This window comes from Homo sapiens, chromosome 5 (assembly GCF_000001405.40).
Source record: "Homo sapiens chromosome 5, GRCh38.p14 Primary Assembly".
NCBI lineage: Eukaryota > Metazoa > Chordata > Mammalia > Primates > Hominidae > Homo > Homo sapiens.
In genome coordinates, this window is record NC_000005.10 from 120,665,410 (window position 1) to 120,683,562 (window position 18,153).

The window sequence follows — 18,153 nt, forward strand, 5'->3', positions numbered from 1 at the left end:
CTGTTCACTCTGATGGTAGTTTCTTTTGCTGTGCAGAAGCTCTTTAGTTTAATTAGATCCCATTTGTCAATTTTGGCTTTTGTTGCTGTTGCTTTTAGTGTTTTAGACATGAAGTCCTTGCCCATGTCTATGTCCTGAATGGTATTGCCTAGGTTTTCTTCTAGGGTTTTTATGGTTTTAGGTCTAACATGTAAGTCTTTAATCCATCTCGAATTAATTTTTGTGTAAGGTGTAAGGAAGGGATCCAGTTTCAGCTTTCTACGTATGGCTAGCCAGTTTTCCCAGCACCATTTATTAAATAGGGAATCCTTCCCCCATTTCCTGTTTTTGTCAGGTTTGTCAAAGATCAGATAGTTGTAGATATGTGGCATTATTTCTGAGGTCTCTGTTCTGTTCCATTGGTCTATATCTCTGTTTTGGTACCAGTACCATGCTGTTTTGGTTACTGTAGCCTTGTAGTATAGTTTGAAGTCAGGTAGCGTGATGCCTCCAGCTTTGTTCTTTTGGCTTAGGATTGACTTGGCAATGTGGGCTCTTTTTTGGTTCCATGTGAACTTTAAAGTAGTTTTTTCCAATTCTGTGAAGAAAGTCATTGGTAGCTTGATGGGGATGGCATTGAATCTATAAATTACCTTGGGCAGTATGGCCATTTTCACGATATTGATTCTTCCTACCCATGAGCATGGAATGTTCTTCCATTTCTTTGTATCCTCTTTTATATCATTGAGCAGTGGTTTGTAGTTTTCCTTGAAGAGGTCCTTCACATCCCTTGTAAGTTGGATTCCTAGGTATTTTATTCTCTTTGAAGCAATTGTGAATGGGAATTCACTCATGATTTGGCTCTCTGTTTGCCTGTTATTGGTGTATAAGAATGCTTGTGATTTTTGTACATTGATTTTGTATCCTGAGACTTTGCTGAAGTTGCTTGTCAGCTTAAGGAGATTTTGGGCTGAGACAATGGGGTTTTCTAGATATACAATCATGTCATCTGCAAACAGGGACAATTTGACTTCCTCTTTTCCTAATTGAATACCCTTTATTTCCTTCTCCTGCCTAATTGCCCTGGCCAGAACTTCCAACACTATGTTGCATAGGAGTGGTGAGAGAGGGCATCCCTGTCTTGTGCCAGTTTTCAAAGGGAATGCTTCCAGTTTTTGCCCATTCAGTATGATATTGGCTGTGGGTTTGTCATAGGTAGCTCTTATTATTTTGAGCTATGTCCCATCAATACCTAATTTATTGAGAGTTTTTAGCATGAAGGGTTGTTGAATTTTGTCAAAGGCCTTTTCTGCATCTATTGAGATAATCATGTGGTTTTTGTCTTTGGTTCTGTTTATATGCTGGATTACATTTATTGATTTGCATATATTGAACCAGCCTTGCATCCCAGGGATGAAGCCCACTTGATCATGGTGGATAAGCTTTTTGATGTGCTGCTGGATTCAGTTTGCCAGTATTTTATTGAGGATTTTTGCATCAATGTTCATCAAGGATATTGGTCTAAAATTCTCTTTTTTGGTTGTGTCTCTGCCCAGCTTTGGTATCAGGATGATGCTGGCCTCATAAAATGAGTTAGGGAGGATTCCCTCTTTTTCTATTGATTGGAATAGTTTCAGAAGGAATGGTACCAGCTCCTCCTTGTACCTCTGGTAGAATTCGGCTGTGAATCCATCTGGTCCTGGACTCCTTTTGGTTGGTAAGCTATTGATTATTGCCACAATTTCCGATCCTGTTATTGGTCTCTTCAGAGATTCAACTTCTTCCTGGTTTAGTCTTGGGAGAGTGTATGTGTCGAGGAATTTATCCATTTAGATTTTCTAGTTTATTTGCGTAGAGGTGTTTGTAGTATTCTCTGATGGTAGTTTGTATTTCTGTGGGATCAGTGGTGATATCCCCTTTATCATTTTTTATTGTGTCTATTTGATTCTTCTCTCTTTTTTTCTTTATTAGTCTTGCTAGTGGTCTATCAATTTTGTTGATCCTTTTAAAAAACCAGCTCCTGGATTCATTAATTTTTTGAAGCGTTTTTTGTGTCTCTATTTCCTTCAGTTCTGCTCTGATTTTAGTTATTTCTTGCCTTCTGCTAGCTTTTGAATGTGTTTGCTCTTGCTTTTCTAGTTCTTTTAATTGTGATGTTAGGGTGTCAATTTTGGATTTTTCCTGCTTTCTCTTGTGGGCATTTAGTGCTATAAATTTCCCTCTACACACTGCTTTGAATGCGTCCCAGAGATTCTGGTATGTTGTGTCTTTGTTCTCGTTGGTTTCAAAGAACATCTTTATTTCTGCCTTCATTTCATTATGTACCCAGTAGTCATTCAGGAGCAGGTTGTTCAGTTTCCATGTAGTTGAGCGGTTTTGAGAGAGTTTCTTAATCCTGAGTTCTAGTTTGATTGCACTGTGGTCTGAGAGACCGTTTGTTATAATCTCTGTTCTTTTACATTTGCTGAGGAGAGCTTTACTTCCAACTATGTGTCAGTTTTGGAATAGGTGTGGTGTGGTGCTGAAAAAAATGTATATTCTGTTGATTTGGGGTGGAGAGTTCTGTAGATGTCTATTAGGTCTGCTTGGTGCAGAGCTGAGTTCAATTCCTGGGTATCCTTGTTAACTTTCTGTCTCGTGGATCTGTCTAATGTTGACAGTGGGATGTTAAAGTCTCCCACTATTATTGTGTGGGAGTCTAAGTCTCTTTGTAGGTCACTCAGGAGTTGCTTTATGAATCTGGGTGCTCCTGTATTGGGTGCATATATATTTAGGATAGTTAGCTCTTCTTGTTGAATTGATCCCTTTACCATTATGTAATGGCCTTCTTTGTCTCTTTTGATCTTTGTTGGTTTAAAGTCTGTTTTATCAGAGACTAGGATTGCAACCCCTGCCTTTTTATGTTTTCCATTTGCTTGGTAGATCTTCCTCCATCCTTTTATTTTGAGCCTATGTGTGTCTCTGCATGTGAGATGGGTTTCCTGAATACAGCACACTGATGGGTCTTGACTCTTTATCCAATTTGCCATTCTGTGTCTTTTAATTGGAGCATTTAGTCCATTTACATTTAAAGTTAATATTGTTATGTGTGAATTTGATCCTGTCATTATGATGTTAACTGGTTATTTTGCTCGTTAGTTGATGGAGTTTCTTCCTAGTCTTGATGGTCTTTACATTTTGGCATGATTTTGCAGCAGCTGGTACCGGTTGTTCCTTTCCATGTTTAGTGCTTCCTTCAGGAGTTCTTTTAGCACAGGCCTGGTGGTGACAAAATCTCTCAGCATTTGCTTGTCTGTAAAGTATTTTATTTCTCCTTCACTTATGAAGGTTAGTTTGGCTGGATATGAAATTCTAGGTTGAAAATTCTTTTCTTTAAGAATGTTGAATATTGGCCCCCACTCTCTTCTGGCTTGTAGAGTTTCTGCCGAGAGATCAGCTGTTAGTCTGATGGGCTTCCCTTTGTGGGTAACCCGACCTTTCTCTCTGGCTGCCCTTAACATTTTTTCCTTCATTTCAACTGATGGGAATAACGCGTCCGCATCAAATAAATGTTTTAAGAAAATAAAGTGACCGTCTGCAAAGGGCATGCCCTATGATAGCTTATTGTTTAGGAAAGACTAATGCAGATATTTTAATTTTGAGGAAGATTTATCCAAGTGTTTTTTTCTAATGTGCCATAAGAGGATAACTCTGTGGTGACTGCGTGTAATGACACTGAGTCTTTTAAGCAAACAGTCTCAAAATGTTGAACTGTGTGTGTGCTGATGAACTCCTTCAAGCAGATTTGGTACAACTTGCTCAATCAGTTTTTAAAATTATTATTATTACCCCAGTGTTTGAATATCTGTAAATTTCACATAAAAATTGTTTAAGTTTCTCTGAAAACCGTAGGAAAAGGGCAATATGAGGCCCTCACACCCTCCCCTCTTTACCATAGTTCCCTGCTTGATGGTGGTGTGTTCATACACCTCCCCCATTTAGTTTGCCAACTCTACTTTGTCATGTATTTGAAAATGGCTTATTGTTTTTTAAAAAAATCCTTATATAGCTCTTATGTGAATTATTAACATTAGCCTTCTGGAAAAATGTGTTATTAGAATAGGTAGATATTACAAATTACTCAGAATATTTAGATATTATCCTCTAGTTTTTGGTTTTTACATTTGAAAATCATGTGTCCTAGAGCCCATATATCTAATCCTCCACATACTAAAATTGAAATTTCAAAACATTTTATTCAAACTTATAATTTTAAATTACCCAGCATATTTTAAGAGGTGTTTTTTAAATAATGATATTAATTTAAACGTCACAATTGTTTCACCTTTTCTTTTAAATTAGAACTCAGTAAAAGAGAAAGTCTTGTTTTGAAAGAAAAAAGTGTTTCTAGATTTTACATTCACAACGTAAAATATGCTAATTGATTTTTTAAAGTAATAATTCATAGAGAATTTAATGAAGTACAATAGAAATATACCGTTTTGAACACTGGGGGCTTTGATTTTTTTTAACTAATGATAGTATATTTATGAAGATAAACAACGGCGTTTATATGACTACCAAAGGTTTTAGGGTATAATTACAATGTTTTAAATGTTATAATGCATAAAATAAACAATACTTTTATTCTGACCATAAGCAAAATATGTAATGTCTTTGATGCACTGTAGGTGATGTAGGCAAATTTTATATTTGGACATGTGAAAAGTGATAAATAATGCAGATTCACAATGGGATTGGTTTTACAGTTTTCATATGTTCATTGCCTTAACATTTTTAGAAGTTAGAAAAAATATTCTATGTTTTGCCTTTCTCAGTACCACATATAGAACATGTGTATTTATAGTATCTCCCAACACAGTTTTGTTAAAATTAAACAACATGAATGGCTTTTGCTATGGATCCACTAAATTCTCTGTTTTCATAAAGAAAAAAAGTGAATGTTGAAGTCTTTCTGGGATTTGGCAACAGAATGAGAGCTGTAAAATATCAATTTTCAAAATCTCTTGGCAGATTTAAATGACCATTATATTTATGATGTAGACTTTCATTGTTTTCAAATTTTATGTAACTTATTTTTATAAAATATCTCTGCATCCCCATGACAGTGAGAGCAAATGGTTAGAAAGCCTATTCTACAAGAATTTCAAATATTAAACCCTCTCTTTCATGTCACGTATTCTGGATGATTAAATCAGTCAGGAAGGTATTATATTTTAAAATGCAACCCCCTTACTCCATTAAGAATGCTAGAACTCTAGCACAGAAAGGAATATCATAATGCTTGTATACCTTTATTAAACCAAGGATAATGTCCCCATGTGCATTCATGCTAAGCACACTCCCTTCATGGTTGAACCAAACTTGGTATTCTCAAGTTGTGGAGGATATTCCAAAGATGGGCTTTAGAGATTTTCAGATGTTTTCACTAACGCAAAAATAATATAATGTAATCTCCCAATTTGTATCATTTTCTGTAATTTCCGTAGATTTGCTTATGACAAGAATAATCCTTTTTTTATGACTTGCTTTATGACACTTTTCTGTTTCAACTGCTAGTGACTGCCTATTACCTTTAGGTAAAACCCCACTCATTAGCATGGTGTTGAAGACCCTTAGGCATTCTCAAACCTCTTTACCTGCATCTCTTTCCCTTTCTGTCTTTACACACTTCCTCCTTTTTCTAGCTTGCCTGCTTATTTACTAAAATCCTAAAATGTGCACATATACACACACACCATACCCCTTACACTGTACTACATTGGATGATTTTGTATTCCTAGAACTCTCATTTAATTTTTCAAATCTTCTTCTTTTACTGTGCATTTTATTGTGCCTAATGTGTTGCCTACTTTTTTCTACCTCTTCTCTCAAAGATCAGATATCAGAGTTTCTTTTTTTCTTTCTTTTAAAAAAATTGCAAAGTACAGAACTAATGCTAGAAAAAAGACTCAGTTTTATCATCTCAAGCTAGTGAGAGTCCAAATCATGAATACATCCTACCATCTTACCTTTACATGCAGTAGTGTTATCAGTATCAACATTTCTAGTAATATTACTTGGAATTCATGATAAATGCTATTATTTCTACAGTGAAAATATATGCCTGAGATATGAAGGAGAGGATAGAGTTTTCTGATCTTTTTAACAAGTAATTTAATATTGTGCATAGATACTAAGATAATTTAAGCAAATAAAGTATAATTTACTAAAATTTGCCTTCCTTTGCATTGTATACTAAACATTTTGCTCAGTATCTGAGATGTAAAAAGTAAAAACATGTCAAAATGTCATTTTAATGTAAATGTAAATATTTATTTAAAAATATTGATAAGTGTAATACTGTATATTTCAAACTTGTTTTAATATATCACGTGAATCTTCTCTCTATGAAAGTGCCATACTTTTTAAATATGTGTGTGTACATATATATGTATGAAAAAGAGAGAAGTTAGAAATCTCATGAACATAACTTATTTACCACCCAGATTTATTACTTCAAAAGTTTATAATCAAGCACAAAATGTAAGCAATAAGAGTCTAATATAAAAACACTTTGTTGTAAGACTTTTCCTTTGATTCTTGTATGTTTATTGTTCATTTATTCAACATATATTCTTATTCTAGACATAAATGCCCAGGATTTCCTGCCCTTTGGGAGGTTACAGTCTTGCCAAGGAGACAAACCTTAAGGGGCTAATTACACAATGAATCACTGGATCACCAAGTGGCACAAGGTGTGAAGCACACGGACAGGAGCTCTAGGGCTGCATAACAGGACTTGAAGGCAATCGGGAAGAGTGCCTTGAGGAGATACAGGGGCTAATTCTTGAAGGGCAGGTGAGGGGTCTGTGTGTGTGTGTGTGTGTGTGTGTGTGTGTGTGTGTGTGTGTTGTGGGGGGAAACAGAGGAACTAGTCCTAAGTAGAGAATGCCTTATATAAGAACCCACAGGCAGGAACTTAACATCTTCTAAGCACTAAGAGAAGTGAAAAGAGTGTGGAGTGAGGATGGGTGGCACAGGAGCCTCCTGGTGTGGATGGCAGGACCTGGATCCTGGGAGTATTGTAGCTTTATTAAGTATTTCGTCTTTATCTTAAAAGCAATTGCAAATTAATTAAAGGCTTTTAATAATTTATGTTATAGATATATATGTGTGTGTGTGTGTGTGTGTGTGTGTAATAGATACATATTTAAAGAAAGTCTTCTGTAACTGCAAGGCAAAGAATGGATTGAATGGAAGAAAGAGTGGATTGGATACAGCATACTCTTATTCTTATTACATTACTGTGATGCTTGCAGAATATTTTTTATTGAGCTAGTTTAACATCTATAGGGGAAATTAAAATAGACAACTTGAGGATTTGTTTAATTCATACTTCACAAATACGAAAAGAGATTATAGATATTGAAAGCTATAAGCTTGTGTTAAAGTTTATAGTTCCATTATCTTGAGTTACAATTTCTTTCTGAACATGATTAACATAATAGAATCATTTTGAAGTGTATACACACAAAATGCAACTAGTTGCATCTTGTACATCTATTAGGTTACTAAAGCAATTGTGATGAAGGATGTTTCCTTTGCCACACTTTACAGGAAGCCTCAGTAGAGGCATGAGTCTGTTAAAATCACAAGATAGGTGATGAAAACAGGAATTAAAGTTAGTAATGACATTTCAGCCATTATAATCTGTGGATAATGTTTGTTACAAAGGAAAGAAAAGTAAAAACCTCATTTACTAAAACTTATAGACAAGTAAATGTGAGAATTACATGTAGTGACTATAACATGCAATACATTTAACTATATGGAACTATGTGATGCTTTAGTATCACTTTCTCCCTTAGTACTTGTTTTATGTTTCTTTTTCCTAAACAGCATTTCGGCATGTGCCAATTAGAAGTTAGAAGTGGTGCATGATGATTTGGGGCATTTCTACGTATTTCAAGTGCAGCTCACAAATGCTTATGGTTGTATGACAAAATGAATTAAATGAAACCAGGTACTTTGGTCTTATTTTATGGGTCTTTAAAAAGCACATAAACATCTTGTTTTACAAATTATAGAGTTAAAATTTTTACATCATTTAGTGTTTCGATTAACATAAACTCCTGAATCTTGTGTAATTTTTAAAGGCTACAAGTGTCTGTTAACATTTTTATACAAATCTTATCTAGAGTGGAATTTTATATTTAGATATGGGCTGTCTATATACTATCTATGCTATGGCTATAAAATAATTAGACTTAAAACATGAACGTACTAGGCCAGGCACAATGGCTCATGCCGATAATCCCAGCACTTTGGGAGAATGAGGTGGGTGGATTGCTTGAGCTCAGGTGTTTGAGACCAGCCTGTGCAACATAGCAGAAACCCATATCTAAAAAAAATAAAAAATAAAAAACAAAAAAAAATTAGCCCGGCATGGTGGCACATGCCTGTAATCCCAACTACTCAGGAGGTTGAGGCAGGAGAATCACTTCACCCTAGGAGGCGGTGGCTACAGTGAGCCGAGATTGCACCACTGCACTCCAGCCTGGCGACAGAGTGAGACCCTTTCTCAAAGAAAAAAAAAAAACCTACTAAAACATGTGCATTCATCTACAGTCTATGTACAAATACTTCCTACATTTTTTTTATCAATGCTGTAAATACACATCTTTTGGAAATTGAGCTCTAAAATTTCAACTACTATCTAAACTCTTACATGTCGACGCTACAGGGCCTCCTGAAACCTCTTAACTGCTTTTTCTGCCATGTGTGGTACTGATATGCCATCTACCTACTTTATTTTTTACCAATATAGAAAAAAATTGTCCTTCATACCTGCATGCCGCTGTATATGCTGTTGTCTCTGCCCCCCTGCCCGCCCTCCAAAAAAGGCTGGGTTAAATGTAATGTTCCTTGGATCCTATGCATCTCTTCTTTCTCGGATTCCATTTTTATTGTGCCAGAATATCTCGTTAATTAACTTTTAAAGAATGGATGTGAAGGAAGTAAGTGTCTTTGTCCTTAATAGCTAAAAATATTTTAATTTACTTTTACAAAAGATTATTAATTTAGCCAGGAATTAAAATTGGGGTTGAAATAATTTGTTCTGGAACTTTTGAAGTTACTAGCAAAATGTCTTTCACTGTCTATTCCTCCTGAAGAAACTGTATTGATCATGTGATTTGTATTTTTTTCTGAGTGTCTTGAAATTGACTTTTCTTTATTTTTCATTCATTCTCATCAGCACTCAGTTGGCCCTTTACATTTGAAGCTGCATTTGTGTTGTCAACCATGAAATTTTTATTCTTCCATTATTTATTTTATTATTACCATCTCACAATTTCTCTTTTTCTGTTTCTGGAACTCCTTAATCAGTTTTTGAAGCTCCAATATTGATCTTTTTGCTCTATGTCTTTTAACTTTTTTCTTGTATTTTTAAAATGTATTTTTGCTTTATATTTAATAATATTTCTAAGATTTTATTTTTATTTTTAAGCCATTAATATTTTTAAAATTTAACATTTGTTTTATATTCCAATTTTTTTATTTTATTGCTTTTTTTACGTATGTGTTATTATTTTATAACTGCAGTACATTTTCAAGCATCTCTAAATAGATTAATTAGACTTACTACAAAGTTCTATTTAGTTCACTAATAATGGCAGCTTCATCTTTAACATTGATCAATTCATTCATTTTGGTCTTTCTGTTTTGTGTTGTTGCTTATTTCAAAAATCTCACGATACTTAGTCATATGTTCTTATAATATAGATGTTTTAGAATCTTCCCACATATGGAGCAAGAGCAAATGGCTGGATGCTGTGACTCCATCTTCATGACTTTCCCAATGAAAAAAATGGAGAGCTTTATTCGGAGCTGCTGTTAACCCGTACTCAGAGCATTCTTATCCAGTGACATTGTTCCATATTTTTATAGCAAGGATTTCAGTTTTTTTTTAAGGTTATTAGCTGTTACTATGTTGCCAATCGTGTTGTATGTGAAAGAGTGTGGGGCCATTAGACACAATGTGTTCTTGTTAAATACAGTGATTCAACAATGCCCCACTCTAACTTTTGTATTACTTCTCACTTCCACTTTTTCTGTATTCCACTTTCAAATTTGAAATCCTTCTGGGACTTCATCAGTACTTTTTCCACCTTTTTATTAACTCATCTGTATATTTATAAAATATCTGATTAGATTTCACTTTTCTCTGAAAGTTTTCTGAGTTTATTACTATTCTTACTTCTTTACTCTCATTTAAAGATGATCTGAGGAGGAAGACATGAAGTACATATGGTCAGTCTCATTTAAACTAGAAACTTATTTTTTATCTTCAATGTCTTACATATTACCAGATGAATAGTACTTGCACAATAAATTATAATTGAATCCAATTGAACACACAGAAAAATAAGACAAACTGCATTATAGTTTTACTTGCTTTTGACCAAAAATATTATTAGGTATTAAATACTTAATTTATTAGGCTCAACTATGAATAATGATTGTTGTCTATTTTAAAATCTAGTTTATTTCCAGAGAACAGGATGTAAGTTGCCACTTATATGCATATTATAAAAAGAAACAACACAACACCTCCCAAGAATCCACCTTACTCTATTTCCAAAAAAACTTGGAAAAAAGAATTTAGTAAAAATTTTTAAGTATATATCCTCCATATTTACTTTCTGACAGTATGATTAGATATGTGCCTCTGTGTGGGTGTGTGTATTTTATTGTCACTGTTTGTTTTAGTATCTCTTTCAGAGAAAGCTTGTTGCTTTGGAATATCCTTTCTTCTTAATTTTGTAGAAGAACCATATCCCAGATAAAAGTCTACATTCCCCAGTATCCATGTATCACGATGACTTTATTTTGACTGGTGAGATGTAAGCAAATAAAATGTATTGCTCCTAAAACATCTCCTTAAAAAAGAGTAGTTATGACTTCCCCACCCTATTTCATTCTACCTTTTGAAATGTATATGTGAAGGCGGGGCCCCGTTCCTGAATTTGGACATGAAAATGGAGCACACCCCCTTGGTATAGCAGAGCAGAAAGTTAGACCTTGGGTCTCTAACAACATCAAGATTGTCTAACTTACTCTGGATTATGTTTATTTTATATATATATATATATGTGTGTGTGTGTGTGTGTGTGTGTGCGTGTGTATATATGTATGCTTTTTCAAATATATCAAGGAAAAAAGAAAGAGTTAAATAATACAATTATGGTGCTTGAGATGTTTCAGACAGCAAAGACAGACATGCTTAATTGCTTTAGGTGATAGGGAGAACTTAAGAACAATGTGGAAATATGTAAGGAGTCGATTGGCCTCATCTCTAAGAAACAATAATATTGTTAACGAAATATGATTCCTCTAGAAGTCCAAAGACAGGCCCAGGAACCCAATGCAGTTCTAGTCTTCCCTTTGGAAAAAAGCATTTAGTGAAGTTCCCCTGAGCGACTTTTTCATAATGGACATTGGACATTTTCAGAAGTCAAAAGAGGCCCGAGTCACTCCTAATTTTTAAGGTTTGTATAGATTCTTCTAAATAAATAAATACCAAAGAGAAGTTAACCAAACTGTGATATAATTTAAATGTTTCCATTTATTACATTGTTTCTAGCACAAGTAGAATTCAATATAATTTTACCTTTCAGAAGATAACCACAGTGTTTATTCACACATATCAATTCATATACAGTCTATCAGAAATACTGTGATCTAGCAGCAGAACACGAAGTTGTAGGCTGTATAATGAGGTGCTTATTTTCATCCTGTCAGTAGATCATTAGGATAGGTGGGTAGAGATTTTTAACATTTTATATGAAGTGTGTTTGCGATGACTATGAACTCAGGGCAAAGTGGCCCTACTGTGTCCTTGCTGGAATATCCTCACTGTTGACTTCACTACTTCCTGCCTCGCCTCTGTTAGGCTTATATGAGGGCTCTTCCAGAGGAGGGTATGTCACTTGCTATCCTATATATTATGCCTGTGTTGGACACAGTTCTTTTACCGACCAGCATTTGGACTCAGCTACTGAGAAAGGTCAAATAGTTAGGGGAAGGTAGTGTATTTACCGGTCTTCTTCTCTTGTTAGAAATTCCTATAGCTCCCATTAATTTCTCTTTTCAGTTCTTTGCTGATAATGCCACCATATTTAAATTGTGATTGTTTTTCTAAGTCAATCTTAAAGATCTTACAGGAATCTATAAATCTTCTTGGAAAGGTTTCAGTCAGGGTTAAGTTCCTTTTTTCTCTCCATTAAGTTTGTTATTGCAAATTCTTGTGGTTGAGAATTGTTGACAAGGAGGAGCTAAAGATTCACTCAAATTGAAAGAGGTTTTCATTTTGTTTTGTTCTTAAGGCAATTGAATTATATTTTTTTATTAAAAAAGTAAGATTTAGGTTCTAAATGCACTTAGTGCTATATGGAAATTTATTTGAAGAAAAGTATATACTTAAACTCTCTTAGTTGTTTTGGAATTGGACTAAACTGCTTTTTCTTTTTCTTTCTTTTTTTTTTTTTTTTTTTTTTGAGACGGAGTTTCGCTCTGTCGCCCAGGCTGGAGTGCAGTGGCGCGATCTCGGCTCACTGCAAGCTCCGCCTCCTGGGTTCACGCCATTCTCCTGCCTCAGCCTCCCGAATAGCTGGGACTACAGGCGCCGGCCACCACGCCTGGCTAATTTTTTGTATTTTTAGTAGAGACGGCGTTTAGCCGTGTTAGCCAGGATGGTGTCGATCTCCTGACCTGGTGATCCGCCTGCCTCGGCCTCCCAAAGTGCTGGGATTAAGCTGTAAACTGCTTTTTATGTCAAGCTTTGGAGCAAGGCTTTACGAGTTAGGCAAAATAGGAAGAGAGCTCACCAAGTCTCACCAATTCTATATTTTTCTCTGTCTAATCCATTTTTATGTGTCTTTCTGGGCCATCTGGGATTGGAGGGATTAAAGATGTTGAAAATCAGACCTAACCATGGAAAGCTGGGGTAGGATGGAAATAAAGGCAACAAATGACTTTTTCCATAGTATCTACATTTATTCAATTACCTCACTAGGCAAATTCTTAGTGAATTCTTACTATGTGCAGTCACTGTGCTCTCTGCCAGGGATAAAGGATGGAAACACGTGCTTATATGTTCTGAGGGGAATACACATAAATAGACAGTCCCAATACATTAAGGCAATTGTAGTAATAAAAGGACAAAGCAGAGTAGGAGCTTAGGAAAAGGATCTACTAGTAGTTTTTTTATCTTGCTACTTTGCTGAATTTGTTTACCAATTCTAATAGTGTTTTCGTGGAGTTTCTAGTCTTTTCTAAATATAAGATCATATCATCTGCAAATAAAGATAATTTAACTTCTTATTTTCCAATTTGGATTCCTTTTATTTCTTTCTCTTATCTAATTGCTCTAGCTAGGACATCTGAATTCCACTCTAATGACACCTCTATGGTGCCATTACCTTTATTCATTGCAGTTTAAGATTTATAGAAGTAATATAAACTGAATTTGGATTTCCACAAATAACTTAGATTATATAATTATTTAATTTCTTCTTAATCTGCTTTTCTGTTTTGAAATTAGATATATTTATCCATATGTGAAAATATTGAGATTGAAATATTGAAATATTGAAAATATTGTGATTCCTAACTCATATTTATCACTATTTTTAATTATTCCACAGTCTACTATAGCTTCCTTGTATACATGGTTTAAAAAACCTCCTGGGATTGTCAAACACAACATCTGCCATTATCCTTGTTTTAAAACTCTCTTTGTTTCACTGTGATTAACAAAGTCCTCCACAGACCCAAATAACCACAATTATTTGGACAAATGACTCAATTTCAAGTTTCAGATACATTTTTTTCTAGATACCTGATGTTTAGTTGTGGATGTTCCTAGATTTATGATTGATGCCATGCTATCTTCTCACCTCCAAATGTCTGCAAAAAATCTATCCCTTCAGTCCTGCTTTCTCTCATTTTGTTTTATCTTTAATTTCTATCATGCCTGTGGTTACTATTTCTTTAGGTGCAATTTCATACTTTGAAATACCTTAAGCAAAACAGAGATGTGCAATTATAAGGATATAGTGGATTCCTTTTCTAGGTGATTTATTTACTTCTCACTTGGCTGTAATAAAATCTAATTGGTTAAGTAAATAAAACACAGCACCCTTCAGTATGTTTTCCACATAGCATCTGAAAGATTTACTTATTTTATTTCTTTCTAAATATATTTAGCTAATGTTAGATATTTACTATTCAACCTTAAGAGAAAGGGGAAGAAACCCTGCCGTTTGCCACACACGGATGGACTTGAACGACATTATGCTAAATGAAATAAGCCAGATACAGAAAGAAAAATATTGCATGATCTTACTTATATATGGAATCTAAAACAACAACAACAAAAACAACAAAATCAGTGGTTACCATGGTCTGAGTTGGGGGACAGAGAATGGGGAAATGTAGGTCAAAGGATACGAAATAGCAAATATGTGGGATGAACACATTGAAAGATTTAATGTACAATATGAGGGCTATAGTTAATAATATTGTATTGTATTCAGGATTTTTGCTAAATTAGTAGATTATAGCTGCTCTTGTTGGGGAGAAATGGGTAACTATGTGAGATGATGGATATGCTCATTCGTTCCACTGAAGAAACCACTTCACTGTATATGCATTTTATAACCTCATGTGTACCTTAAATATCCACAATAAAATTTATTTAACAGATGTTAACATTTTCTCAGCATGACTTTATATCCTTTTAAAAGAAACAAAATATTGATGTTATGTAGCTGATGCCTTCCCTCATTCGTTCCTGTCTCCTTCTCTGAATTTGATGTGTATTATTTATTTCCAGGTATTAACTAAACTACCTGTGCTTGTATGCATAAACAAGATATACCTACTGAATATATCTTTTTATTATTTCTTAAAATATTCAACATTAGGTTTTTGAGATTTATCCCTGCTGATACATATAGAACTAGTTAATTCATTTTAACTACTTTATATTTGCTAACACAATCACTTGTTAATAGATATTTAGGTTGTTTCCAATTTCTTTTTATACCAAAAGTGAAAAACCTGCAAGGAATATCCTTGTGTATTTCCAACCCTGTGAACATCTACTGGACTTTCCCTGGCGTTCGAGGCTGTGTTCCTAGTAGAATTGCCACAAAGTGTGTACCTTATTCAATTTATAAGATATTCTTTAAAAGTTGTCTGAACTGACTGAATTTACATTTGCACTGACAATGCATAAGTTCCAATTATAGATATCATCACCAACAATTGGGATTATCAGGTTGTTTCATTTTTACCAAATCATTGAGTTTGAAATGTTATGTTGTTTTCTCAAGTTTGCATGACCTCAATTACTAGTAAGACTGAGTGTGTGGTTTTTAGTGTTTGGAAATTTGTGTTCACTTCACGTGAATTGCTACTTCATAATCTTTTTTCCACTCGTGTGTGTGTACACATGAACATAAACTCTAAATTATGTTTTATTTATTTATTCACCTAAGTTGGTATAGATACTATATGTTGCTTTGCTTAAGAAAGATTTGGACTAAGTTCTGTGCTTGGAATTAACATGGCTGCATCAGGTTGCATCTGGATATTTGCCTGATAATATCTTATTTCTATAACTTTATATTGTCTTTCTGTGTCTCTTTTTGGCAGCAATCACTACTTTTATACATTATTTTAATCTATTTACACTCTTGTAATTGCAAATATATTGGCATCATTTATTCTATTGTATAGAGTGACTTTCATTTACGATGCTTTTCGTTGTCATTTTTTAAGATTTCTTATTTTCTGCCTTGTTAGATTTATTGAGTTTCCTTTGCTCACTTTTTATTTCTTATTTATTTTGGAAGTGATAATTTTATATCTGTTATTTCAATAGTTTCTGCAAAATTTACACATGCACTTTTGACTTAATAAAGTTAATCAGTATCAGATAGATAATAATTTTCCTCACACACACAACAAAGACAATGAACTTAAATAGTTTAATTCTGATTGTCCTACAGACATGTTCTTTTTCCTAGTATTTAGCTTCACATTTTTCTTACCCTGTCCCAAATTAGTCATTAATATATTATGTTTTGTAATCAATGCATAACTTGACTTACTTGTTTACCAATGCCTTTGTTTATCTATGCTTCTTGCATTCCAGTTCTTCCTTCTGATTATTTACCTTTCACTGAATTTTCATTTATCAATACTTTCAATACTGAGCTATAAGAGCAATACTCTCTCAGTCTTTGTTGTCTAAAAATGTCTATTTCTCTCACTTCTATATCAGTTAAACTATATTAACATTCCCAATTATTTTTCAGTATGAACCTATTCCTAAATTTTCTTGGGACCACTGTTACTTGTGGGAAGATCTGTCAGCTTAATTTTTGTTACTCTATAAATACTTGGTGTTCCCTTTTTTGTGGTTGTAAAACTTTTATCATTGCTTTTCAGTGTTTTCTGGTTTCACTATGGTATGTCTGAGTGAGAGTTTGTTTATATTTTCTTGTTTGAAACTGTGTACTTTAGAGGACACTTCAGTTCTGAAAGTACTAATTCATTGTCTGTTTGAATACTACATCTCTCACTTCTGCAACTCTTTAAAAGAAAAATATGTGGTACTTTATCATATCATCTCAAAGGCTCTCACAGGATAGCTGCTACCTAACTATCCAACCTCATCTCTCACAGTGCCCTTGAGCCAAAACAGTCTTTAAATCACTCACACTCAGGTGATCTCTTCTGTCAGAGGACCTTTATCAGGCTCTTTTCTGAGCAGACTGCTTGAACCACTCTTCTGCCAGTAAGCTCCAACTCATCCTTACAGAATGCTTCACTAACCTTTCTGATGGGGTCTTCCTCTTCTCTTATAACATCTTATATTCTTCAGAGCGCTTGAGCTAGTTGCACTTTTAAAATTACTTGTTTGAAGATCTAGTCAAAGTGAGGCCCTTTCATGGATTGTCTGCTCCATGAAAGCAGTGTTTTGTTTGTTTTTTATTCTCTTGGAATTTTATAGGCACTCAGGAAATAACGTAGAGACTGAAACCAGGTAGGAAGCATAAAACCAGCAGGAACTGAGGTGGCATTTATTCATCTCTGAAAATCAGCTTCACTGCCCTCCTAAAAGACCTGTTTTCTCTCATTTGCTGCAGAATTTACTATGATAAAATGTGTGGGGTAGATAACCTCCAGGTGAAATAGGACAAGGACCCATGAGCCAAGACTGTCTCTCTACCTCTCACATTCTTTAGATAGCCTTTCACTTTAGTTTCTAGACAGAGCTTGAGAATATGCAACCAACTCAGTGGTCATTTATGGATAAATTCTTTCCTTCCCATTTTCTTCTAGAATAACTGAATAAGTTTTGAAGTAACAACCACTTCCAAGAATCAAATTGGAGAGAAAATGCTTTTGCTCACACTTAAACTGAAGAAATAACCCTCGGAGCATTTACTTAACAAATATTTGCTGAGCCCCTAATTAGTACCGGTTGTTATGTTAGGCCTTTAGAATGCAATAGGAAAAATTTTAAGGATGTGTCAGAGTTAACCTGACTAAGAGAAGAAGGAAGAGCATTTCAAGAAGAAATAATGGTTTGTGCAAACATTCTGTGGCAGGAAGCAGACAAGCAATTTTGAGGGCCTAAAGAATACCAGAGAGATTGGGAACAGAAATACAGAGTTGAGGACTGAGAGTTATTTAGGAGCATGAGACAATGACTAGAACTGACTCATACTAGCTAAAAATCAATCATATTTTTTAAAAATTTTGTGAGCTGGTTGGTTGTTAAACACAACAGTTACTAAAAGTGAAACTGGGCTGAAGCGAGTGGATCATGAGGTCAGGCGTTTGAGACCAGCCTGGCCAACATAGTGAAATCCCGTCTCTTTTTGTATTTTGTAAAAATACAAAAAATTAGGTGGGTGTGGTGGTGGCTGCCTGTAATCCCAGCTACTTGGGAGGCTGAGGTGGGAGAATTGCTTGAACCTGGGAGATGGAGGTTGCGGTGAGCTGAGATCGCATCACTGCACTCCAGCCTGGGCGACAGTGTGACACTCCGTCTCAAAAAAAAAAAAAAAAGTGAAACTGTATAAACAAACTAATTACATTAAAAACAAAGGTTTT

At 34.6% G+C, this 18,153-nt stretch overlaps 1 protein-coding gene across 9 annotated transcripts in view; it reads left to right on the forward strand.

Moving 5' to 3' along the window:
- Positions 1–18,153, forward strand: part of PRR16 (proline rich 16) — a 330,317-nt gene that overhangs the window by 201,132 nt on the left and 111,032 nt on the right. The window contains exons 3-5 of one of the 9 annotated variants that reach the window (XM_047417290.1): positions 6,607–6,819; positions 7,861–7,984; positions 11,360–11,510. The gene's annotated coding sequence lies outside the window, so the exon portion shown is untranslated. 9 annotated transcript variants of the gene reach the window in all.